Source organism: Homo sapiens, chromosome 8 (assembly GCF_000001405.40).
Source record: "Homo sapiens chromosome 8, GRCh38.p14 Primary Assembly".
Taxonomy (NCBI): Eukaryota; Metazoa; Chordata; class Mammalia; order Primates; family Hominidae; genus Homo; species Homo sapiens.
Window position 1 is genome coordinate 100,573,989 of NC_000008.11, and position 26,240 is coordinate 100,600,228.

Consider the following 26,240-nt stretch of genomic DNA (forward strand, 5'->3'; position numbering starts at 1 on the left):
GTAAATGAAAGGAAATCATTTCCATAACAATAACAAAGTCACAGAGGTTAAAACAGTATTGAAAGGGCAACAGAAAGCTTACATTTGTATAAGCAATGGTTATTTTAAACAGTTTTATTCTGTAGAAGCTTTATTTTGGGGTGAGTGTAAATACACTCGTTAGGACTGAGAAGAGCACCGCCTACTGGTTTTATGTGTCCTCTGCATCTTTCAGGGCCCTGGGATATCACCCAGGTTAACATTTAACTCTACCTGTCTTGCCTCTTTCCCCTCTTAAAGCCATGCGACTTTCAATTTTTAACTTTGCCCAAAATCTTTAGTGCACATTCCACACAAATACAAACTTTAAAAAAGAGGCTGGGCGGCCAGGCGCAGTGGCTCATGCCTGTAATCCCAACACTTTGGGAGGCCAAGGCGGGCAGATCACGAGTTCAGGAGATCAAGACCACCCTGGCCAACGTGGTGAAACCCCATCTCTAATAAAATACAAAAAAATTAGCTAGGCATGGTGGCTGGCGCCTGTGGTCCGAGCTATTCGGGAGGCTGAGGCAGGGGAATCACTTGAACCCTGGAGGCAGAGGTTTCAGTGAGCCAAGATTGTGCCACTGCACTTCAGCCTGGCAACAGAGTGAGACTCCGTCTAAAAAAAAAAAAAAAAAGAAGAGGCCGTGTACAGTGGCTCACGCCTGTAATCCCAGCACGTTGGGAGGCTGAGGTGGTGGATCACTTGAGGCCAGGAGTACGAGACCAGCCTGGCCAGCATGGTGAAACCCCATCTCTACCAAAACTACAAAAACTAGCCGGATGTGGTGGTGCACACCTGTAATCCCAGCTACTCAGGAGGCTGAGGCAGGAGGATCGCTTGAACCTGGGAGGTGGAGGTTGCAATGAGCCGAGATGGCACCACCGCACTCCAGCCTGGGCAAGGGAGCGAGACTCTGTCTCATTAGAAAAAAAAAGTGTTATGCTTATTTTAAAACATTTTAGAGGTTAGGGTTACCGCAAATCTTTAAAGAGTAATTTGCCTTCAGTACTTATGAAATCTCAAAGACACGGTTATGGAAAGTGGAAAGTGAAAAAAAAAATGTGGAGCCCCTCAGTGGGCAGATGGGCTACAACTTTTTTTCTACGAGGGATTTGTTTTGATAGAGGGGCCTCACTGCCAAGTGGTTAAAGCAACAAACTAATTTTATTTGTTAAACAACAAATAAAGACTGCTTGGGTTCAAATACTGGCTCTGATATTAACTGACTGTGTGACCTTGAGCAAGTGACTTAACCTTTCTGTGTTTCAGTTCTCTGTGCAGTAAGCCAAGGATAATAACAGTGCTTTGGTTGTTTATTGGGATTAAACGAGTTATACATAAAAAGTAATTATAGCAGTTCATGGCTCAGGATAAGGTCTATACAACAGTTTGCAAAATAAATTAAAACTCAATATAGTTGGACACTAGGTCTCTTTCCGACCTGCTGGTCCTACTCACAGCATGAGATAGGTTGGCCTGTATTAGAGTTACCACTCATCCGAGAGGACAACTGAACTGATCACAGTTGTGCTGAGTGTTATCTGTTGTCCTAGGACAGTGGCTCTCAAACTTGAACATGCATCAGATTTGTCTGGTGGGCGTGTTAAAGAGATTGCTGCGGCCTTCCCCCAGAGCTGCTGATCCAGTAGGTTTGGGGCCTGAGAATTTGAATTTCTAATAAGATCCACGTGATACAGATGCTGTTGGTCCAGGGACCACACACTGAGAACTGGTGTTCTAGGATAATGGTTCCAATTCTGGTTGTATAATAGGACCACTTGGGGAGCTTTTAAAAATTCCATTGCCCAGGCCCCTCAGACCAATTAAATCCAAATTTCTGAGGGTGGGGCTCAAGCATTAGTTTTTAGAGCTCCCCAGGTGATTCCAATGTGCAGCCAAAGTTGAGAACCACAGCTCCATGCTGTCGGCATGCTGCTAAAATGGGTGCATTAAAATGATGAAGTGATTGCCATCTACATTTTACAGACAAAGATATGGAAGTGCAGTATCAGAGTCCCTAATGAAGTTAGGTTTTGGATCTGCCTAATGACACATAGCCAGTAAGCAGTGGAGTTCCTATCTCGTCTCTCTGTCCAACCAGCCAGAAGTGCTGTGATTATGAAGGAGAATGCTTTTATGCATTTCTGCTAGTTTATTTTCCCTGACTGTATTCATTCAAGAAAGGACTTTATATACTTACATATTTATAAATACTGTACATATATACTAAGGATGTTTACATACACACCAGTTCTGTGACAGGTGCTGGATCAAGAAGAAATCCCATTCAAATGCTACTTAGAAGTCACTTTTCTTTCATTCACCTACACTAGGATTTGGACTTAGAAAGGAAGAGTTAGCAAGGGCACAGTTAGTTAAGGGCATAGTTCCAGGGTCAGACTGCCTGCTTCTTTCCATCTTTGACTGCTGTGCAACCTTGGGCAGGTCACAAAACCTCTCTGTGCACTAATTTCCTCAACTTATTTATAGGGCTGTGAAGGAATGTGTTAATTCACATAAAAGTGCTTAGAATACTGCCTGGCAATAATGAGTGCTCAAAAATGTCATTGATTGTGATTTTTTCTATTATTATCTGCACAGCAGATCTAAATGCTCAAAAAGTATTTTGTAAACTTAAAAGTTGCTTTATACAGAGTATACTGCAGAAAACTATGAGACCAAAATATACTAGATATGTAACATATACAAATTAGAAAGAGAGTTGCCTCCAAAAAGTGCAAGGGGTGTACAAAAAAATCACCAAATAATTTTGTGTTTCTCTTGGAAATTTTCTATGTAAAAATTCTTGGTAGTGCTATGGGGTGCTACAATAAAAATACTATACTTCTGTGATGGCCTTCCAATTGGCCCAATCTACAAAGAGGAGCTTCTGAGAAACATAATTCTGACTTATTATTGAAAGTGAGATGACTTTGGTTAAAGAGGAAAAAAGATCAGATTTATCAAAATTATAATGTACCAATTACATAATTTTACTCACAGACCTGGCTTTGTTGAATGTGGTATTTTTTACTTTTGCTTTGTTCCGGAACTTCAATCTGCTAGATAGATTAGTGAAATGTCAGTCAGCTCAGCCCAGAGAAGCAAGCACACAAACAATCTATTTAACTAGCACACTTTCCCTTCCACGATAATCCTCTTAATCGTCCCAAAGGCTGCCGGTCAGCAGGTACACCTGCTTGTCATCTGTGCATTCCTCTTTCACTTGTCAGGGTCTAAATGTTACAGAAATAGAGTCCCCAAAAGTTAAGTAAAACTTAATGTTTCACATTAGTGGTTGCCTATGGATTTTGTGATTGAAGAAAGCTTTTAAAAGAACATCACACGAAATGAAATGTCCTTCTAAATCCTGAAATAATTCTTGGGGTTGCAATCCATATGCTGACTCAAAGCCCAGCGGGGCTTTGGTTAATCAAAAGCCACCATTAATCAAACGAAGAATCAAAGCGAAGTTCAAGGCACTTGAATATACCTCATGTACATAAGGTAAACCCAATATACCAGCAGGAAACAGATGGTGCAATCTTGGGGTAATTGAGGAGAATTTTAGGAAGGAACCGTTTAACTATTTAATGGAGGTGTGGGCAGGATTACATTGAATGCATGAAGGGATGTTGGGGCCCCCAGGGGCTAGCAATGAGGGGGATTTCCAGAGGATTCTTACCACCTCTAGGCCTGAAGGGGCGAGGGAGCAGCTGGGGCTGGAACCAGAGAGTAGCTGTAGCTATAAGGAGGAGAGATTGCCTGACGGGAGCTGTATCCCTCAGTAGAGAGACATTCCAGCCCCAGAGACCCAGCAGGTTCCAACATGGAGAAATAAACACCCTACTCTCACTTTTCTCCCACCCTCCAATCTCCTGCTGGTTTCCCAATGAGTTATCCAGGGATGTCCAATCTTTTGGCTTTCCTGGACCACACTGGAAGAAGAGAATTGTCTTGGTCCCCATGTAATATAGCTAATGAGCTTTTTAAAAATCACAAAAAAACACTCAGTGTTTTAAGAAAGTTTATGAATTTGCATTAGGCCACATTCAGACATGTCCTGGGCTGCATGCAGCCCGCAGGCTGTGGGTTGGACAAGCTTGAGTTATCCCATTGAGGGTAAGGTTGTAGTACACAGTCTCCCAGGGCACAGAGCAGAGTGGGAGTGAATCTGGAAAGGCAGAGTGCCTGGCACACCTAGTAAACACCACCTAGCCAGGCTTTTTGGGGAAAGAGTTCTTAGACTCTTCTTAATGGGAAAGAAAAGAACTGCTATGTGCGTTAGGTACATAACTCAAGCAAGTTGCAGTATTTATTTACCCTACAATTGTCAACGTCTCTGTATTAATCGCCTTTCTCCTCCAACATATTAGCTCTTTGACTCTGGATCCTCAGGTTTAGCCATCACATGGTACACACAGGCATTCATAAATGACAGAATAAACAAGTGACTTAATTGTTTATTATTGCTTACTTCTCATGAGAATATAGACGGAGACATTTAAAAATAAGTGGGCTAAATAACATGACACTGCAAAAAAGCATTACCTTTCAACTATGGTTAACTTTGTTGTAAAATCAATTGCTTTAAGGAGGTATGCATAAGACTTCCTTTAGGTTAGTATTCTTAATGGAAATGTTCACATATTTAAGCCTATTTCAATGATTTTTTATTTTATTTTATTTTATTTTATTTTATTTTATTTTATTTTATTATTATTTTGAGACAGAGTCTCGCTGTGTTGCCCAGGCTAGAGTGCAGTGGCACAATCTTGGCTCACTGCAACCTCCACCTCCTGGATTCAAGCGATTCTCCAGCCTCAGTCTCCCAAGTAGCTAGGAATACAGGTACGCGCCACCATGCCCATCTAATTTTTGTATTTTTGGTAGAGATGGGGTTTCACCATGTTGGCCAGGCTGGTCTCAAACTCCTGACCTCAAGTGATCCACCTGCCTCGGCCTCCCAAAGTGCTGGGATTACAGGCACGAGACACTGTGCCCGGCCTCAATATTTTTTAAAAAACCAGTTATTAAGTCTTGGAAAATGAGAAATTAACACTCTGATGTCTTATGTGTTCTGCTACTATTATTATTATTTTACAGTGTTACATTAGGGTCCATAAATAGTCTTGCAGCCATGAAATACAGAGCTTGGAGGAAAATTCTCAGAATTTTTCTGTCTCCTAGTCTCCTTCCCCTCCTGCTCCCTATGTCAAAGTAAATAAAATCGAACCACTACAAATGTTAAGCAATTTCTGACATAATCAGTTTCCTTGACTTCTTGCAATAAGGCCTTCAATACTTTATGTACTAGGGGGAATAAAGCTGGGGAAACAAGCAAATCTTTTTTCATAATGCAGTATTCCTATACTTCCTTTTTCATCAATAGAGTGGTTTCTGTTAATAACATAATCACTTATTCCTGCACAGTAATTTCCCCCTGGCTGTCTAAAACTGTGTCCTCCTGCTATGCTCATACCATTCTCCTGACTGCCATACACAGTTTTTCCATTTTCTATATTGGACCAGCTCTTCAAAAGGCTAACATTCCTCAGATATCAGAGGCCACTGTCCTTGGTGTTTCCCCTCCTCACTATATAATAGAAACATGTTTAAAATTGCCAGTTGCCTTTTAAATAGTTTCACCTTGCCTAAAAGGAAAGAAGAATGGAGGGAAAAATACATCTGGTGATGGTAGTTGAGGATGGAGTAAGAGGTGTAAGGTAATCAGGAATCAGAAAGCCATCTTGTTCTTCGCCATTTTTGAGGGAAACTAATTTTGAGATCAGATCTACTTTTAAGAAAAACAAAGGGAAAATATACAAACTAGGTATAGATTATTAGAAATATAAATTGTTTCTTGCCAGGCATGGTGGCTCACACCTGTAATCTCAGCACTTCGGGAGGCCAAGGCAGGCTGATTGCTTAAGCTCAGGAGTTTGAGACCAGCCTGGGCAACATAGTGAGACCCCTGTCTCTACAAAAAATACAAAAATTAGCCAGGCATGGTGGTGTGTGCCTATAGTACCAGGTACTTAGGAGACTGCAGTGGGGATGATGGCTTTAACTTGGGAGGTGGAGGTTGCAGTGAGCTGAGATTGCACCACTGCACTCCAGCCTGGGAGACAGAGCCTGTCTTTAAAAAAAAAAAAAAAAAAAAACAGTCTTTTTAAGTCAGAAAATAATTGACCAGCATACTCCTGATGTACATCTCATGTATCCAGATTACAGTTCAATATGTAAAATAATAATAATGCACTTTCAGAAATTCCTTAGGAACACATCTATTGCATAAAATACATCTACTATCTTTTCTTGGTGTCTTTTGGAATTCTCTAAATGGCAGAGATTGTTGGTAGTTTACTCCATTATCCATTCCACCCTTCTTCCTTAGTAATTACACCCAGTTTTATTTGAATAGACAACACACCCTGCTAAAAGACCACATTTACCAGACTCCCTTGCAGCTAGGTGTGGGCCTGTGATGTGACTATCTCTTGGCCAATTGTCGTAGGGGAAATTCTGAGTGAGACTTCTGAAACTTCTCCTTAAAGAAAAGAAGTGAACCCTGCTTCATATTTTCCTCATACTTGCTGCCTAGAATGTGGATGTAATGATTGGTGTTCTGGCAGCCATTTTGGGGATGAGGTGAAAGCCACATACAGAAGATCCACAATAGAAAGGTCTGTGTTGATATTATGGAGCCACCCCATCCAGCCCTAGACTGCCTACCTCTGGACTTCTTTTAGATGAGAGAGAAACAAACTTCATTGTGTCTAAGACACTTGTTTTGTCTTTTGTTTTCTATTACATGCAGCAAAACCTAACTCTAACTAATATACTTTATTTTTAAATAAAGCAATCCTTTATAATTCTGCTCTAATTAAGAGCAGCAAATATTAAGGAAATTGATTCAGGCTTTTGTACAGGAGCATAGCTTTAAGAAGAATGTTACACTTTTTTTTTCTTCCAGTTTATGGTTAATATTGCCTTTAAGGGCCAGGTACAGTGGCTCATGTCTGTTATCTCAGCAATTTGGGAAGCCAAGGTGGGAGGATCGCTTGAGTTCAGGAGCTCAAGACCAGCCTGGAAAACACAGGGAGACCTTACCTCTACAAAAAAAAAAAAAAAAATTAGCTGGGTGTGGTGGCACATGCCAGTGGTCCCAGCTACTTGGGAGACTGAAGTAGGAGGATCACCTCAGTCTGGGAAGTTGAGGCTGCAGTGAGACATGATTGCACCACTGCACTCCAGCCTGGGTGACAGAGCGTGACCCTGTCTTTAAAAAAATTTTTTATATATCTATATCTATCTATCTATCTATATATATATATATATATAATTTAAGAACTTAATATATTTTTGTTGTGGCTGTATGTTTACATTATTCTTTAGTGCATTTGCTTGACCCAAATTTTAATGATGTCTTCATAAACAGAGCACAAGTTTTATCTTTGAAAACATTACCTAAAGCTAACAAAGCTAATTAAGTTAACAATACATTTCTTTTTTCCCTCATTTCCTCTTACTAGGATAAAACTAGCACTACTTAATCTGCTTCTAGGGATGATCTGCCTTATTTATGGGGCTCATTTGGTTACAGTTCTCTCCCCTGCTTCAGATTCTTTAAGATGATCAAAATCTTGGACTCGGAACCTGCCCTGCAAAATAGAGACCTCTGTGTCCTAGTCCATACAAGCCTTCTATAAGTGCTATGTGTCAGTTTTGACTTTGTGTGTTTCCCTGGAAAACAAGGGAATGACGCCATGGTACATTTATATGGTTTCCTTGAGCCACAAAATGACTTTAATCGACTGTACTTGTGAGGGGGCCCAGCACTCAGGATGAGTTCAAACACTGAACTGTCTGCTCTCTCTACCTCCCAGGTTCCCCTCTACCCAGAGCTTTGTAGATAAAATTCGAGATTAAAATGCAGACTATCCTTACAAAATCCTCTTGGAAACCCAATTTTCAAAATGAAAGGTCTGAACTTTTCATTCCAAGAGCCAAAATAAGTAAAAAAAATAAAGAGTTTCTGGAACTAAAACGTGTTAAATATTTGGATAAAGCAATACAAGGGTACTGACTAATGTGCTGATTTTGCTAACCTCAGAGATTAATTATGGATTTCGATTCATGTGCAAACTTAAGATACATAGTGTGGTTGTTTTTCTTGAAAACTTTAAATAGATTACTACTTTCTCCATTTTACTGAGTTAACTCTTTAGCTACTCATTGTACAAGTATTTCCTGAATCAAGTAGCTTACATTTTTTTCATCCACATTTGAGAGCACTTCTCCCTTTTAATGAGGCTACTTCAGTTAATTACTTTTCTCTTTCTTCTTTTTAATACATACAATAATCTCAGCCTAAGAGGGTCCATCCTGCCTGAGAGGTTGGATTTTATTATATTACTCTTTTAAAAAGAGTTTCCTTGATTCTTTTATTGCTTTGATTTACTACTCTCTAGCACATCTTGAATTGTTCAGTCACCAAGAGGCAGTGAATTTATTTTCCCTGGAAAAGGTACGTTCAGTTCTAGAAGAAAGAGAAATAATTACAAAACACAGCTATTTTCTTAGAAAAAAGCTGGAAAGTCAAGTAAAGATCAATGTTAACTAAAGATGTCATCCATCCTCTTAGTCTAAATTTAAATGAAAACATTAGAAAAGTTTCCTGGCCGGGTGCGGTGGCTCATGCCTGTAATCCCAGCACTTTAGGAGGCCGAGGCGGGCGGATCATGAGGTCAGGAGATCGAGACCATCCTGGCTAACGTGGTGCAACCCTGTCTCTACTAAAAAAAAAAATACAAAAAATCAGCCGGGCGTGGTGGCAGGGACCTGTAGCCCCAGCTACTCGGGAGGCTGAGGCAAGAGAATGGTGTGAACCCGGAAGGCGGAGCTTGCAGTGAGCTGAGATGCACCACTGCACTCCAGCCTGGGCGACAGAGTGAGACTCCATCTAAAAAAAAAAAGAAAAGAAAAGAAAAGAAAAGTTTCCCAATATTTTCTATTATATTTTAAAATATCAATATAATATTCTACAAAAGAATTAAGTTTATGAATGTCAACCAGGTACTGGTATTTCTTTCTTTCTTTTTTTTTTTTAAGATGGAGTCTCACTCTGTCACCCAGGCTGGAATGTAATGGTGTCATCTTGGCTCACTGCAACCTCTGTCTTCTGGGATCAAGCAATTCTCCTGCCTCAGCCTCCCCAGTAGCTGGGACTACAGGTACCCACCACCACACCCAGTTAATTTCGTATATTTAGTGGAGATGGGGGTTCACCATGTTGGCCAGGCTGGTCTCAAACTCCTGACCTCAAGTGATCCCCCCACTTGGCCTCCTGAAGTGCTGGGATTACAGGCATGAGCCACCATGCCCGGCCCCAGGCATTGGTATTTCTAATCATTTAAAAAAAAAATTGTACTGTCTTGTTTGGGACATACTTGTATCATGATAACGACTAGGCAATTAAAACAGTTTAAAATATAATTTTTTCACAGCCTTCTCACCAACCTTTTTGATGAGTTACTAGGCCTTTAATAAATATAATAATAAATAAACACTAGAACAATAAAGTTTAATTTTATATTGAGGAAAAAAAATAGCCTTGAGAGTTTATTTTACTACCTCCCCCAACTGTTAAAGGCATTTTCATTTGGCACAATGGAAGTATCAAGAAGCTATGGATTCTTTCTAGAGATAAACTTATAATAAGATCATCCCCACTGTGTTAAAGACCCCCTCAAGACCCTGACTTGAAGATGTAGCTTCTGTAATAAATCTGAAAGCCTCCATGTCAGAGAAGGCTGAAACAAAATGATACAAAGTCGAGGGTTAGAATTCTCAGTAACCCAAAGATGACTTCTCATTGGAAAAATGACTTCAATTCTAAAGACAGGCTTCCTTCTGCCCTGCCATCCTGACCACTGAGCTACCAGAGGGAAGAGGAGCTCACTTCTGTGGTTTGGAGTCCTCCCTTTAGGACTAGACCTGCTGGCTCAGGGAGCTCATGAGTGTAGTTTGGTCTCCAACTGTTGGCTGATAGTGGGAACGTAAAGTGAAAAATAGACACAGATAAGAGCACTCACCATTTCTGTATTCTCAGCAGCTAGCTTTACCATCTTTTCTGAGATCATCTTTTTCAAGCAGCTACTCAGCAAAAAAGCCTAAGAAATGCAGGAATAAAGAACTCTTGTAACCGAAGAAATCTTCACTCTCTTTCTTCCCTCCTCACACCACAAAGCGGATTTTGACTCTGCCCTCCAATAACACAGATTCAAGAATTTAGATTTCTTCATTAACCTCTAGAAGTTTTCATAAGATCCAATTAGTAAGTAACTATAAATTTTCTCAATTATGTGGATATATTTACAGCAGATTTTTTAAAGAAATGAAAAATGTCCAGGATCTCACTATTAACATTTTTCCTCTTAAAACTCACCCCCTTGCATCCCATGTTTTCTATTATTTTGTAAGCAGATAATGTTTTATGAGCAATAAACAATAAAAACTAATTATTATTATTATAATGAGATGAACTGATGATGGTCAATCCTATATTTAATTCTAGACATTGTATACATAATTATTGAGAGACCTCTACTGGGCATAAAAGTAACTGGTTTGTTTGAAGGAATATATTAGCACCTTATTGCTTTTACTAAACTGAAAAAAAAGATCAGCTGTTTTTCTTCACTTCACTTTCTTATTTTTCTTTTTCTTTTTCTTTTTTTTTTTTTTTTCTCTGAGACAGTCTCACTCTGTCACCCAGGCTGGAGTGCTGTGGCTGCGATCTTGGCTCACTGCAACCCCCGCCTCCTTGGTTCAAGCGATTCTCCCGCTTCAGCACGCTGCCATGCCCAGCTAATTTTTTTGTATTTTTAGTAGAGACGGGGTTTCACCATGTTGGCCAGGCTGGTCTCAAATTCCTGACCTCAAGTGATCCACCCGCCTCGCCTCCCAAAGTACTGGGATTACAGGTGTGAGCCACCGTGCCTGGCCCACTTTCTTATTTTTCTAGTATCTTTAATCACTCATGTTCTAGACTCATAGTCACCTTCACTATCCTTCGTGGCTAAATCATCATTAGTGCCAAGACACTCATAGTTGTACAACTTGCTACACAAAAGCTGGGCTTCCTTATTCCAGGCTCTTCAATACTATGAGCAAAATTGAAGGTTCCCTGTGATTTTCCCATTTGCTCCTTTCCCACTTATCCTTTTTCTCTCTTGTCCTGCTCTTAATTCTTGGCCTGCTGTTTTCTCCTTTGGCCCTACTAAGGTTTGGGACAACTGCCAATCAAAGTTGAGGCTAGAAGAACTTAGCGCAGGGCTGTGTTCAGGGGTGGTCACTGTGTTGGAGGGGAGGATGGAGAGGAGAAGGGAGGAGAGAGTGAGAGAAAGCACAGGCTGGGGTGGTAGCCAAGTAGGAAGTTCTTGGAGGGGAGAACACAGAAAGCAGAATTAGAGGGAAAATGGGCTACATACAGCTCTCAATGTCTTCCAGGGGTGTAGAGCATTACAGGAATTAATTTTATTTAAAAGGGGAAAAGAGGGAAGAGAGAAAAAAGGGCCTGACATCAATTTTTGAAAGAATTAACAGATGGGGCATTTGTGCAAACATTTTGACTTCCTAGCTTTGCTAAGAACTAGCCCTGTTTATATGTGCATATATGAAACCTATGCAAAACCAGATAATAAAATAAACAACAAAACCCTGAGCAAATGCAGCTAGGAAGGATGTTTAATAGGGTCCAATAAGATGCAGACCAATTCCATATTCTTATACAATGTACACAAGTACATAGGCCAGGACTCTGCTATAAACTGTCAGGTTTATTAAATATGAAAAGATTGAAAATGAATAAAAAATTTAAAAAAGACAAAGCAAAAGGATCGAGTTGTTGTTTTTTTTTCTGAGATGGAGTCTTGCTCTGTCGCCCAGGCTGGAGCACAGTGGTGTAATCTTGGCTCACTACAACCTTCGCCTCCCAGATTCATGGGATTCTCCTGCCTTAGCCTCCCGAGTAGCTGGGATTACAGGTGCCTGCCACCATGCCCAGATGATTTTTGTTCTTTTGGTAGAGATGGTGTTTCACCATGTTGGCCAGGCTGGTCTTAAGCTCCTGACCTCAAGTGATCTGCCGGCTTTGGCCTCCCAAATTGCTGGGATTACAGGCATGAGCCACTGCGCCTGGCCAACAATTCAGATTTCATTTAAAAGGTCTCAAAAAGATTTGGGCCCAAGCCCTCATTTGTATTTGCAAAGCACACAAGTCACATTTCCACCTTTTACAAAAGTAGCCCTTGAGTGTGTACAACTATTATATATCCATAAAAATTATAATGTTTTTAAAAAGTAGCCTTTGGGTGTACATCAATAAAACTCACACTCCAGGGGAAATAAGACCTTACTAGGAATCCTTTGAAAGAATGTTTATTGCACCTCTTTATGGTGGTTTAAACTCATTTGCTACTGCCTAGATTGAAAAATCATAGTAAAATTTAACCGCACTTAGCATTCTGAGGTTGGGAGGTAGTTTTACTACCCAAATCTCTCTATGTCTCTCCAAGTGACTGATAATCTTGCCTTAGCAAACCAGTCTACTATTTCCCCAAAGATGTTTCATACTTAAGGTGGACCTAAGGACCCACTCCTTTAACCTAGAATTTTGGTTTAGTACTTCATGTTTTCAGAGGACTTTGATATAATGACTCAACTATACTAGAAGTAAAGAGTCAAAAGGGGCCTTGGTTTCTGAACCAGAATGTTCCATGGAACTTAGCCTGATCACCAGAGACTCAAGTTGAATATGACATCGATGCAAAGAGTACTTTACTATTTTGATTCCATTTCAGAACACCTACAATTTTGGTTTCAATTTGAAATGGCTTAATTTAGTAAAAAGGACTTTTCAATTGGATTTGGTGTTTAGATTTTCTCTTTTTTAGCATTTCCACTCCAATTTTAGTTAAAAGCCTATGGTAGACATGGATAGTTGGCTACCCAACAGCCATTGCCCCTTCTTCTTTCCTAAGAGACCCTGATTTTGTTTGGGACGATAACATGCTCAGCCCCAGGCAATGGTTCATGCTTACTCTAAGCCAATCATAAATCCTGTTTCTCTTTGCTAGATGCTTGGTTCCCAGACTCCCTTGCAGCTAGGAGTGGTCATATGATCCAGTTCTGGCCATTGAAACATAATAGGAAGTCTACTGCGGGGTTTCTGGGGTAAAACTTTTGCTTTCCAGATAAGAGAGATATGGGTTGAGCATCCCTAATCCAAAAGTCCAAAATGTGAAACTTTTTGAGCCACTTAAATGATGCCACAAGTGGGAAATTCCACACCTGATCTCCTGTGACTAGTAACAGTCAAAAACCAGATGTACAGCACAGATTCTGTTGCTGTTGTTTCACAGGTTTCACAGCTGATACAGGTATTCCAGTGATGCTATTGTGCTGATTAGCTACCCTGAACACATAATTTTTCACTGCATTAATGGTACGTCATGTTTTCTACTGTTGATTATGTATATGTGAATAAGTATAAGAAATGGATTGCTTATCAGTAGCATATAAATTCAGAGTCAGGAATGATGGTGATGCCCGACAACCACAGATGGTCCACATGGGTGGCTGAGGTAGTGACATCTTTGCTTTCTGATGGCTCAATGTCCACAAACTTTGTTCCATGCACAAATTTATTTAAAATATCATATAAAATTACCTTCAGGCTATGTGTTTAAGGTGTATATGAAACATAATTGAATTTCATGTTTAGACTTGGGTCCCATCCTCAAGATATCTCATTATATACAATTATACATCAGTTAATGATGATGGGGGTATGTTCTGAGAAATGCATCATTAGGCAAGTTTGTCATTGTGCAAACAACATAGAGTGTAGTTACACAAACCTAGATGGTATAGCTTGCTATATACCTAAGCTAGATGATAGAGCCTCCCACTCTTAGGCTATAAACCTGTACAGTATGCTACTATACTGAATAAATTCTGAGGCAATTGTAACACAATGATAAGTATGTGTATCACCTAAACATAGAAAAGGTACTACAGGAAAAAGGTGAAACATTAAAAAAAAACATAAAAAAGGTACAGTAAAAATACTGAGTTATAAACTTATGGGACCACTGCCATATATACAGACTGTCATTGACCAAAATGTTATGTACCACATGAATGTATATGCAAATATTTCAAGATTTAAAAAAATCTGCAATTGGAAACAATTCTGGTGCTAAGCATTTGGGATAAGGGATACTCAACCAGTGGCTTTTTATCTGCTTGGAAAAGGTCAAGAGAATAATAGGGATGCCAATCATCTACCTTCAGTATTTTTATTAACTAAGATCATAAAAATCTGTATTGCCTAAGTCAGGGGTTGGCAAACAAGGCCAGACCACCATCTGTTTCTATAAATAAAGTTTTATTGGAACATAGCCAGACTCACTTGTTTATATACTGCCTATGGCTGCTTTTAACAGAGTTGAGCAGTTGCAACAGAGACTGTATGGATCTCAAATCCTAAAATATTTACTATCCTTTAAGAAAAAGTCTATGGACTCCTGGTCTAAGCCACTGTTGGTTGAATCTTCTATTAATTGGTAACTAAATTCATTTCTAACTGATACAAAGGCCACGGTGACTAGTAAAATATAACAAAACATAAAACAAAATAAAAGGTATTACGGTCCCGAACGAGAGTGCATAGAACACTTTAGGGTCCTGCTCTAGTTGGGTTAGGGTCATGTGCTTCATCCACCCCAGCAAGCAAGACAGCATTTCAGCACAGAGGGTGTTCAAGGTCTGCCCTGAGAACTCACCTGTTTGGTGTAAATAACAAACCACTGCCAGCAACTATCCTCACTGTATTGAAATCTGAGCTCTAAGTTCTGGTTGAGAGTTCTCTGGGGCCCATCCGTATCCAGCAGAGTTCCCTACAAAGGAAAATATTTTATATTCAATGTAAATTTAAATGCCTATTAATTTGCCGGGCACGGTGGCTCACACCTGAAATCCCAGCTGAGGCGGGCAGATCGCCTGAGGTCAGGAGTTCGAGACCATCCTGGCCAACATGGTGAAACCCCATCTCTACTAAAAATACAAAAATTAACCAGGCGTGGTGGCAGGGGCCTGTAATCCCAGCTACTTGGGAGGCTGAGGCAGGAGAACCACTTGCACTAGGGAGACAGAGGTTGCAGTGAGCCGAGATCATGCCATTGCACTCCAGCCTGGGTGACAAGAGTGAGACTTCGTCTCAAAAAAAAAAAAAAAAAGCCCATTAATGTGTTGGGCAAAATATCAAAATGAGGGAGACTGTCCCTATTTCCAAGAAGGTATCAGTCTATGGAGGAGCCATGAAAGTAAATCACCACAGTTTGATATATTAATAGTTAAGTGTTAGGAAGGAAACACAGGTCTATGGAAGTAAATAGGAGGGGCACCTAACCCAGGCTAGGAGGGCAAAGGAAGACTTCCTGGAAGGGCCATCTGAGCAGAGGTAGAAACTACCCAAGTTTGTCGTGGTGGTTTTATTTTGTAGTGTGTAGGGGAGGTGAGAGGTGATTTTTGAAAGAGGAAATATTCTAGCAAGTGCAAATGTCCTGAGGCATGTTGGAGACACTACAAGGGACTGTGCATGTGGCTGCAGTACAGGCTCCAAGGCATGGAGGGTGATATGAGAAGAGGCTTAGGACCAGATCCTGAAAGCCTGGTAGGCAACATCTGTGATTTTTGCTTTGCAGCATCCATCATTCTTTTTCCTAGTAATGGAGTCTCAAATACCCTTGGAAAAACCATCCCTCTTCCACTGTTGGCTATTTATGTAGGACTATCAGGGAATGAAAAGTCAGAGGATGGCATATGACCAAATTTCAGGCCAAGTGGACAAGTAATTCTCTATGCTCCTCATGTTATTCCAGTCAGAGAGACCCAAATGGTAGGTCCTGATAGAGTTCCTATTTCTTAGAAAGCTTGAGCTCCTTTGGTTCTTAACTTTCTAAAGCCTCTGCATCCGTTTTTCCTTTGAATCTGTAGGTTACTCCATATCCTTCCAATAAATCCCATTTTCCACTAGAGTCCAATGTGTTGGTTTCTATTGCTTGCCAACAAAGAGCCCTAACTCTTACAGGTTTTATAAGCTAAGGATCCCTTCCTGCAGATTATATGCAGTACACAAAAAAGAAATAGGGAAAGAAAAAAGATATTTTTCCCCCTAGGGGGCAACAGACATTATCCTAAGGGCAACAGATTTTCTTTAAGAGGTTTCAGCTAGGTGTGGTAGCTCATGCCTGTAATCCCAGCACTTTGGGAGGCTGAGGCAAGAGAATCTCTTGAGCTCAGGAGTTCAAAACCAGCCTGGGCACCATAGCAAGTCCTTGTCTCCAAAAAACAGGAATTAGATTTATATTTTAGAAATATCGGTCTGGCAGCATCAGTTAAAACATGAATTGGAGGCTGGGTGCAGTGGTTCATGCCTGTAATCCCAACAGTTTGGGAGGCTGAGGCAGGCAGATCACTTGAGGTCAGGAGTTTGAGACCAGCCTGGCCAACATGGTAAAACCCCATCTCTACTAAAAACACACAAAAAATTAGCTGGGTATGGTGGCTGGTGCCTGTAATCCCAGCTACTCGGGAGGCTGAGGCAGGATAATCACTTGATCCTGGGAGGTGAAGGTTGCAGTGAGCTGAGATTGCGCCACTGCACTCCAGCCTGGACAACAGAGTAAGACTCCATCTCGAAAACAACAACAACAACAACAACAACAAAATATGAATTGGAAAACAGCTGTTTTCAGACACTGAACAACAGATAACGCAGTACTGTTAACCCAGAGAGAAGGAAAACCAAATGAAGTGAGCCCCATAATTATCCCAGCTTACCACCTGAAGAGGTTTCCAGGATATAACACAAAGACAGGGAACCCAAACAGAGCCCAGGGGTCCTAATGAGTAGAGGAGAAAGGGCAAAAGTTTCAAGAAGTTGAGATTGGAATTTGTGGTGCAGAATATCAAAGACTAGGGCTTTAAACACAGCGAGAGCTCTAGGGAGTTTTTGACAAATCTTTGGCTGAATAACGATCTACGCGTGTATAGAGTAAACCTACATGAGGCTGGGGAAAGAACATCTGGAAAGCAGTAGGTTGGAAATTGCAGGAGCTCACAAACAAGGATGGAAAGAGTTCATGTTCCCATTGGCCAGAGCAGAGAGACAATAGACAAGATGTCAGGTAGAGCTCTAAGAATGGCAGCTAAGGCACAAAGGGCTAAATTAGCCCTAGACTAAAGATTACTCTGCAACTTCATCAAGGCGGGCAGGCGCCTGTAGTCGTAGCTACTCGGGAGGCTGAGGCAGGAGAACGGCTTGAACCCGGGAGGCGGAGCTTGCAGTGAGCCGAGATCGCGCCACTGCACTCCAGCCTGGGCAACAGAGTGAGACTCCGTCTCAAAAAAAAAAAAAAAAAAAAGAAGGAAATAAAGCTTAAAAGCAAGCATCAAAAAAGTAAAACTGGCCAGGCATGGGGGCTCATGCCTGTAATCCCAGCACTTTGGGAAGGTGAGGCAGATGATTGCTTGAGGCCAGGAGTTCAGGACCAGCCTGGGAAACATAGCAAGACCCTGTTTCTACAAAAAATGAAAATCAGCTGGGCATAGGCACATGCTTGTAATCCCAGCTACTTGGGAGGCTGAGGAAGGAGGATCTCTCGAGCCCACAGGGTTGAGGCTGCGGTGAGCCATAATTGTGCCACTGCACTCCAGCCTGGGTAACAGAGTGAGACCCTGCCTCTTAAAAATAAAAATAAAAATAAAACCAATCCTAAGTAATTTAACTGCATGCCAGAATAAAATCTAATGCTCTTTAAAGGAATTCAATAAAATGCGACATTCAATAATGTAAAATTTGCAACGTTTAGCATGCCACAAAAAATTACTTGAAATGAATAGGAGGAGGAAAATATGATCTGCAAACAGTAGAAAAATCAATCAATAGTACATACTCAATGTCAGGTGATAAAAACAAACAAACAGAAAGCAAAAAGAAAAAAGTATCAATCAGTAGAATTAGATCCAGAAATGACAGAGATGATGGAATTAGTAGCAAAAATATTGAAACTGCTATTTAAAGTATGTTCCATACACTCAGGAATTTGGAGAAAAAAAGTAGCATGATAAGGAGAGAAATGGAAAATATAAAAAAGATCTAAACAGAACTTCTAGAGATGAAAAATACAACACTAGAAGTAAAAATGCACTGGATGGGATAAATAACAATGTTAGACATTACAGAAGAAAATATCAATAATCTTAAAGCTATAGCAATAGAAACAACCACAAATAAAGCAGAGAGAGAAAAAATACTGAGATAAATGAAATCACAATGGGATACCGTGTCACATCTATCTACTAGGTTGGCTATAATAAAAAATTAATAACAAGTACTGGCAAGGATGAGGAGAAATCAAAACCCTCCACTGCTGCTGGGGATATAAAATGGTGCAGCCACTTTGGAAACTAGGCTGGCAGTTCCTCAAAAAGTTAAACACAGAATTATCATTTGATCCAATGATAATTCTACTCCTAGGTATATACTCAAGAGACATAAAAACATGTCTACACAAAAGCTTGTGCACAAATGTTTATAGCAGCATAATTCATAACAGCCAAAATATAGAAGCAACCCAAATGTCTATCAATGGATGAATGGGTAGAATGTGCTATAACCATGAAGTGGAATATTATTTGTCCATAAAAAATAATAAAGTACTGATGATACATGCTACAAGAATGAACCTGGGAAACATGCTAGGTAAAAAAGCTAGTCACAAGGATCACATATTATATGATTCCATTAATATACGGGTCGGAGTTAGCTCAAGCGGTTACCTCCTCATGCCGGACTTTCTATGTGTCCATTAATATAAATTATCCAGAATAGGCAAATCTATTCTATAGAGACAGAAAGTAGATCAGTGGTTTTTTAGGGCTGGGGGGATAGGAAAGTGACAACTAAAGGGTATGGGGCTTCTTTTTCAGGTGATAAAGTGTTCTAAAATTGATTGTGGTGATGGCTGCACAACTCTGTGAATATACTACATACCATACCATTGAATCGTATACTTTATATGGGTGAATTGTATGGTATGTGAATTATATCTCAATAAAGCCGTTATAAAGAAAGACACGTGTGATATTGGTGGGGGAATATACACATAGATCAGCCAAACAGAACAGAGAACCTAGAAACAGACCCGTACAAACATGCCCAACTGATTTTTGACAAAGGTATATAAATAGCTTACTTGAGGACAGACAGTCATTTCAACAAATGGGTACTGGAGCAACTGGACCTCCAGAGGCAAACAAACAAACAAAAGGTTGGGGATGGGGGGATAACCACCTTATTTTTATTTTATTTTATTTTATTTTTTCGAGGCAGGGTCTTGCTCTGTCTCCCAGGCTGGAGTGCAGTGGCGTGATCTTGGCTCACTGCAACCTCCCCCTCCCAGACTCAAGGGATTCTCCTGCCTCAGCCTCCCAAGTAGCTGGGATTACAGATGCGCCCCACCACGCCCAGCTAATTTTTGTAGTTTTAGTAGAGACAGAGTTTCTCCATGTTGGCCAGGCTGGTCTCAGACTCCTGACTTCAACCAATCTGCCCACCTCGGCCTCCCAAAGTGCTGGGATTATAGGCATGAGCCACTGTGCCTGGCCTGATAACCTTATCCTAAGTCTCATGCTCCATACAAAAATTAACTGAAAATGGATCATGAACTTACATGTAAAACCCCTAACTGTAAAACTTTTAGGAAAAAAAATAGAAAAACTTCAGCATCTATAACAGGATTTATCAAAGAGTTCTTGGACTTGACGGCAAAAGCACAATCCAAAAAAGGAAAACTGATTAATTAGATTTAATCAAAATGAAACATTTTTGATCTGCAAAAGACCTTGTTTAAGAGGATGAAAAACTATAGAGTGGGCCAGGTGTGGTGGCTCACACCTGTAATCCCAGCACTTTGGGAGGCCGAAGCAGGCAGATTGTTTGAGGTCAGGAGTTTGAGACCAGCCAGGACAACGTGGTGAAACCTCATCTCTACTAAAAATACAAAAAATTAGCCCTGCCTGGTGGTGCATGCCTGTAATCCCAGCTACTTGGGAGGCTGAGGCAGGAGAATCCCTTGAACCTGGGAGGTGGAGGCTGCAGTGAGCTGAAATTGCACCACTGCACTCCAGCCTGGGCGACAGAGCAAGACTCTGTCTCAAAACAAAACCAAAACAAGGAAACAGACAAACAACAACAACAACAACAAAACCGAAACTATAGAGTAAGAGAAAATATTTGGAAACCAGATGGCCAACAAAGAACAAGTATCTAGAATACATAAAGAACTCTCAACACTCAACAGTAAAAAGCCAAACAATCCAATTCAAAAATGGGTAAAAGATATGAGAAGACATTTTACCAAAGAAGATATACAGATGGCAAATAAACACATGAAGATATTCAGCATCATAAGCCATAGTGAAATGCAAACTTAAGTCACAATGAAATATCTTTACACATATATTAGAATGACTACAATAAAAAAAATAGTGACAACACCAAATGCTGGTGAGAATGCAGAAAACTGGTTCACTCACACATTGCTGGTGGGAATGTAAAATGATGTAGCCATTCTCAAAAACAATTCGGCAGTTTCTTTAAAAAGTAAACATGCAATTACCGTACGACCCAGCAATTGCACTTGTGGGCATTTATTCCAGAAAAATGAAGACTCATGGCCAGGCAAACACCTGTATGTGAAGATTTATAGCAGCTCTATTCATAATAGCTAAAAACTAGAAACAACCAGAGGTTCTTCAATGAGTAAATGGTTAAGCAAACTTTGGCACATCCAGACCATGGACTGCTGCTCAACAATAAAAAGAGACAAACTACTGATATAGTCAGCAACCTGAATGAACTTCCAACAAATTATGCAGAGCAAAAATGAGCCAATCCCTAAGGCAATTGATATTTATAGAATGTTCTACCCAAAATGGAAGGCACATTCTTTTAAGATACATGTGAAACATTTACCAAGATAGATCAAATTTGGGGCCACAAAACACGTTTCCATACGTTTCAAAGGGCTAAGATCATACAATATATTTTTTCTGACCTCCAGGAGGAAAGAGTGGTGTAGGGAGAAGAATTAGGAAACTGTTCAATCCATCCACACAGGGCATGTTGAGACCAAGCTGTGAGTGCGGAGATAGAGGGAATTTGTTGTTTTTTTTTTTTTTTCAGATGGGTCTCACTGTTGCCTAGGTTGGAGTGCAGTGATGTAATCTCACCTCACTGCAGGCTCTGCCTCCCAGGCTCAAGAGATCCTCCCACCTCAGCCTCCCCAGTAGCTGGGACCACAGGTGCACACCACCATGCCTGGTTTATTTTTGTATTAGTTTGTAGAGATGGGATTTTGCCATGTTGCCTGGGCTGGTAAGGGAGACTTTTGAGGGACAGCAAAGTATAGAATGGATAGGCCTCCATTAGCACTTAAATGTGTAGGGTCAGAGAAAGAGAAAAGTCAGAGATAACTTCAAGATTTCTGGTTTGGCAATTAGGGTGTGGTAGTGGAAGTTCCCTTGACCAAGTAGGGAACACAGACAGAAGAACCCCATGAAAGGCATAAGGTGGAAAAGGACTCGTCTGCTTCAGGGAAAGGCTGCGTTTGAGATGTCTGTGAGACACCTGGTTGAAGGCATCCAGAGGTAGAAAAAACTGGGCCTTTGAGCAGGGTCTGGGCATTGATTTCAGAGAATATGTAGAGGAATGATGCTAGAATGCAATGCCAGAAACACCAGAATTTCAGGAATGCTCAGAGGGAGAAGTGGCCTACAAAAGTAGGGGAGAAAGGAGAGAGATCTTTGAGAAGTAAGAAATGGTTGACAGTATCGAATGCCACAGAGAGGTCAAGTATGAGCCCAGCTAAAAAATCGCCAGGGATTCCATGGATTTAACAAGTGGGTGTCATGCTCTGATAGCTTTTGCCCTCTATTAGTTAACCTCAGTTTCCTGTGTAAAGAGGATAACACCACTTAGCTCACTGGGGTCTTATAGGCTGAATTAAATAATAGATGAGACAGTGCAGCGCAGCCCCTGGTACAAAGTGGGCACTCAATAAATCTAATAAGGGTTTCTCTTGGGAGAAGCTGGCAATGCAAGCATGATGCCAAGGTGTTGTAAGAAGAGCTCTGCCAGTCAGTGCCAGTCTTGAAGGGTAGAGACCTTGTCAACACTGAGCACGTAGTAAGTGCTCAATAAATGGTAGCTGTTATTGCCATCTGCTGTTATTACTACAGCCACCCTTCAAGCAGTAGGGAGGCCTGTTGTTAGGAAGGTGGAAAGATCAATGTCTCTGCTTCTCTGGGTGGGGAACGTGCATCAGACTACAGATAGGTTTTACCACTAGGTGATATTTAATGTGGCTTAGATGTCACTCCACTCAAGGTACAGATTCAAATGGCAAACCTGTCTCCCTAGTGTCAACTTTGTCATCCAAGGGTACTAGGATTTTTAAGTCATGGGCAAAGCAAGGTGCCAAGATACTCACAAGGAAAGTGACCTGCCAGCACTTCACCCTGCTCATCTGGAAAACGATGTCCTGGGTCTGGCTGTCAGGCAGGGTGATGCAGCAGCTGATCTCATTATTGCCAACAGAAAGAACAGCTCCAGAGCCTGATTCTGGGTAGTCACAGGTACAAGGATCCAGCTGCAGGTATCCATAGTGCCGTACCTCCCGGGCCAGCTCCAAAAACTGCTCCAAAGAGGGTGATGTGGGGGGAGGGGAGGCAAGAGGAAGCAAAAGACCACTTGAAACAGATGAAAACCTCATGTCAGAAGCTACTGCCATTCTAGGATAATACATGGAACTGAGTCACAGTGAAAGCTCCTTTTCTTGATCCTACACATAGAGATAATGCCCCTGGTGCTCACCAGAAGCCCGGGGGAAATTCATGGAGTGTCCTTCCAGGGAAGGGACCATTCCTGCCTCTTTCACCACTGTGTCCCTGCCCCTGTTATGGTGCTTGGTACACAGTGGAAATGAAAATATTCCATGAGTAAATGAAGAATGAAGAAAAGAGTCCATAAAATGGATGAACAGATATGATTCTGTCTCAGCAGATTATAATAGCAAGTAAACAAAAAAGTGTACATTGGCTTTTTTTTTTTTTAGACGGAGTCTCGTTCTATCACCCAGGCTGGCGTGCTGCGGCACGATCTCGGCTCACTGCAACCTCCGACTCCCTGGTTCAAGTGATTATCCTGCCTCAGCCTCCCAAGTAGCTGGGATTACAGGCACGTGCCACCACACCCAACTAATTTTTGTATTTTTAGTGGAGACAGGGTTTCACCATGTTGGCCAGGATGGTCTTGATCTCCCGACCTTGTCGTGATCCACCTGCCTGAGCCTCCCAAAGTGCTGGGATTACAGACGTGAGCCACTGTGCCTGGCCTAAAATGTTGGCTTTTAAAAAACTAAGCTGAGATCTATGTAGGAAGAAAAGTGGTTCATTTCTACAGGCTGCTTTATATGATGGTGGTAGTAATTGCCAGAGAAAGAGATTTTAGAAATGGCAATGAGGGCACGAGCTGGTCTGCTTTCTAAATAGAATTCCAGAGATTCCCCCAGTTGCCCAGGGAAGACTTTTAAAATTTAGCTTTTCCCTCTGCTTCTGAAGTAACCTAAGAACTGAGGACAGTTGCATTCACACCACTGATCAAGGCATCCTGTCACATTAACGTCTGTCCAGGGCTTTCCATTTTGTTAATGATTGCATTTAAATAAGCTGGTATAGGTTTGGTGAACTCCACTCTGTTCTTCCAGCTTTCGCCATGGGCCTGGCCTAATGGTATGTGAGATGTGCATGTGGAGAACAGAGTTCCCACTTTAGCACATGGTTAAATCAGAAAGAGGACTACCTAGTGACAACTTGTGATCCTTTCTTGAAGCAAGGTAACTCACACCTCCTTTACAAGGACTCCGGAGGCGTTCTCTGATACAGTGAAACAGGCTGAGTCAGAAGCAGTAAGGGACAGCTGACTCCTGATCTCATGCTGGCAGGAGTATTCAAAGCCACTGTCCCATCCAGCCACATGTGCCAGCTCATTGTGCTATGGTCCAGGCTTCAGCTTGGGAGATGCATTAAGGTGCTGGCCTTCAGTTGGGTCAGTGAGAAACATCAGAAAGGACAGGTTGTAAGTACATGGTACTTGCGCAGTGATTGGGGGCAGGAGCTGAGTCATCTTGTCACAGAGCAGACAGAGAGTAGTGTCATGCTTTTGCTACAACACTTTCTAAGTGATATGGTATAAATTTATAATTGTTTATCTTATTGTTTGATAACACTTCTTTAAAATTGTAATAATCTCTTGGCTGCAATGAGCTAAAAGAAAGGAAAGTGTTTGTTTAATTAAAAGTGAAGCTCTATTTTGCAAGAAAGGTGGTGATGAGTAAGTAACTTATGTAAAATGCCTGTTGGCATTTGACATTCGATAAAAGGGTGTTGTGATATTACTAACTATATGAACACCAGAAGACAGAATTCTACAAGGATTCTCTACTTGAAAATTAGTTAAGATTGTACCTAAAAAAGACAATTTAACATACACAGCTGCAGAAAGTATGTTTATATTAATATATTTTCATTTTGATCAGGGATTGGTAAACTTTTATGTAAAGAACCATCTAGTAAACATTTTCAGCTATACAGACATATGGTCCCTGTTGCAACTACTTACCTCTGCCACTGCAACACAAAAGCAGCCTTAGACAATACATGAATGAGTGATTGTAACTGTGTGCCAATAAAACTTTATTTGCAAAATAAGTGGCCCATGGACCACAGCCTTTCTCTGATTTAGATCAAATGACTCTTTCTTAAGTTAATTTCATTCATTTCACTTCCAAGTTTTCTTGTACAGAAAGTATAGTTGTTAATGTGTTTGCTCCATTAGCAGAAGAACTTGACAAACAAATAATGTTGGTTACATATCAGTACATGTAGATGCTTTGAGAGAAAGTAAATCTCAATAATAATTAAATTTTTAAATTCAATTTATGTACTCAAAGCAAAGCTTTTTTAAAATAGCATTATTACAAATAGTATGGTAAATTCAGATAAAATGTTTATCATAGAAGATAAAATTTATTTTGTGGAAAAACTACAAATACACATTTTGGCAGGGCATGGTAAGAACAATAGTCTTACTAAATTAAGAAGTTTATAGGGCAGATATGTGTGAAGACTTGGTTGTGGTGTACACAGTTTGTAATTGCATCTGAAGTAACAGCAATATTCTATCCATCAAAATAGAAGCTGCACTTGTTAAAATTTACAAACACACAGAGAAACTGAACTCTTTTTTTTTTTTTTGTGACAAAGCTGAGGTAGAACACTGGGCTGGCAGGTGGGGGGGATATTAAATTGTGGCAGTATGTGCCTTTCCTTTTTCTCTTTTTGCAGTTCATCAGTAAAAATCTCAAAGGTCTGAGCCTTTGAGGAATTATTTTCTGTTACGTATAAATGAGTCCTCTAAATTTTGGTTGTATTTCGTTCAAAAATCAATGTTGCAGTTGTGAACATTGGCAAAGTCAGAAGAATTTTTAAAAAGACAACACAACAAAACAGAGGCCATTTCTTCTGTTAAAATACGTCTTGTCTGTCAGACACATTCGCTGCTTGGGGGCAGGAGGTACGTGATTTGGTAACACCTTTACGGAAACTTTAAAAATGAATGTTTAGAAATATATCCTAAGGAATAATAGAACACGTACTCAAAGAGGATGCTGGTTGAAATGTTCAGGGACTTCAGCCAGGAACTGTACCAGGTGCTGTGAATACACAGAGTATGTATAAATTATACACAGCCCTGGGCCTCATGGCTCTTGCTGCCAAAGTGATTTATAGCAGCAAGAGCTGGAAACAACCTGACTTCCAATAATAGAAAAGTGGTTAGCCAAACGATAATATAACCATAAAATGGAATACTCTGTAGTCACTAAAAATAATGCGGAGGATCTATATTAATTAACTCAGCAGAGGACTCACAATATACCGTCTGTATTTTTTTTAGAATCTTTAAACAATAAGCTTTTATTAATTCTGTACTCAGAACAATCAATGAAGATATTCTTATTTT

At 40.6% G+C, this 26,240-nt stretch overlaps 1 protein-coding gene across 20 annotated transcripts in view; it reads right to left on the reverse strand.

The window, feature by feature from the left end:
- SNX31 (sorting nexin 31) overlaps window positions 1–26,240 on the reverse strand; it is a 90,712-nt gene that overhangs the window by 1,115 nt on the left and 63,357 nt on the right. For 6 of the 20 annotated variants that reach the window (XM_011516899.2, XM_017013161.2, XM_017013163.2 and 3 more), the window contains 4 exons: window positions 22,651–22,854; window positions 14,878–14,991; window positions 10,123–10,200; window positions 3,031–3,087 (listed from right to left, as the gene is read on the reverse strand). In XM_011516899.2, coding sequence (XP_011515201.1) covers window positions 3,031–3,087; window positions 10,123–10,200; window positions 14,878–14,991; window positions 22,651–22,854 — 453 coding nt within the window. Of the gene's footprint in view, window positions 1–3,030; window positions 3,088–10,122; window positions 10,201–14,877; window positions 14,992–22,650; window positions 22,855–26,240 lie in introns of those variants that run through there. The other 14 variants (XM_017013154.2, XM_024447084.2, XM_017013155.1 and 11 more) reach the window with 10 other exon arrangements.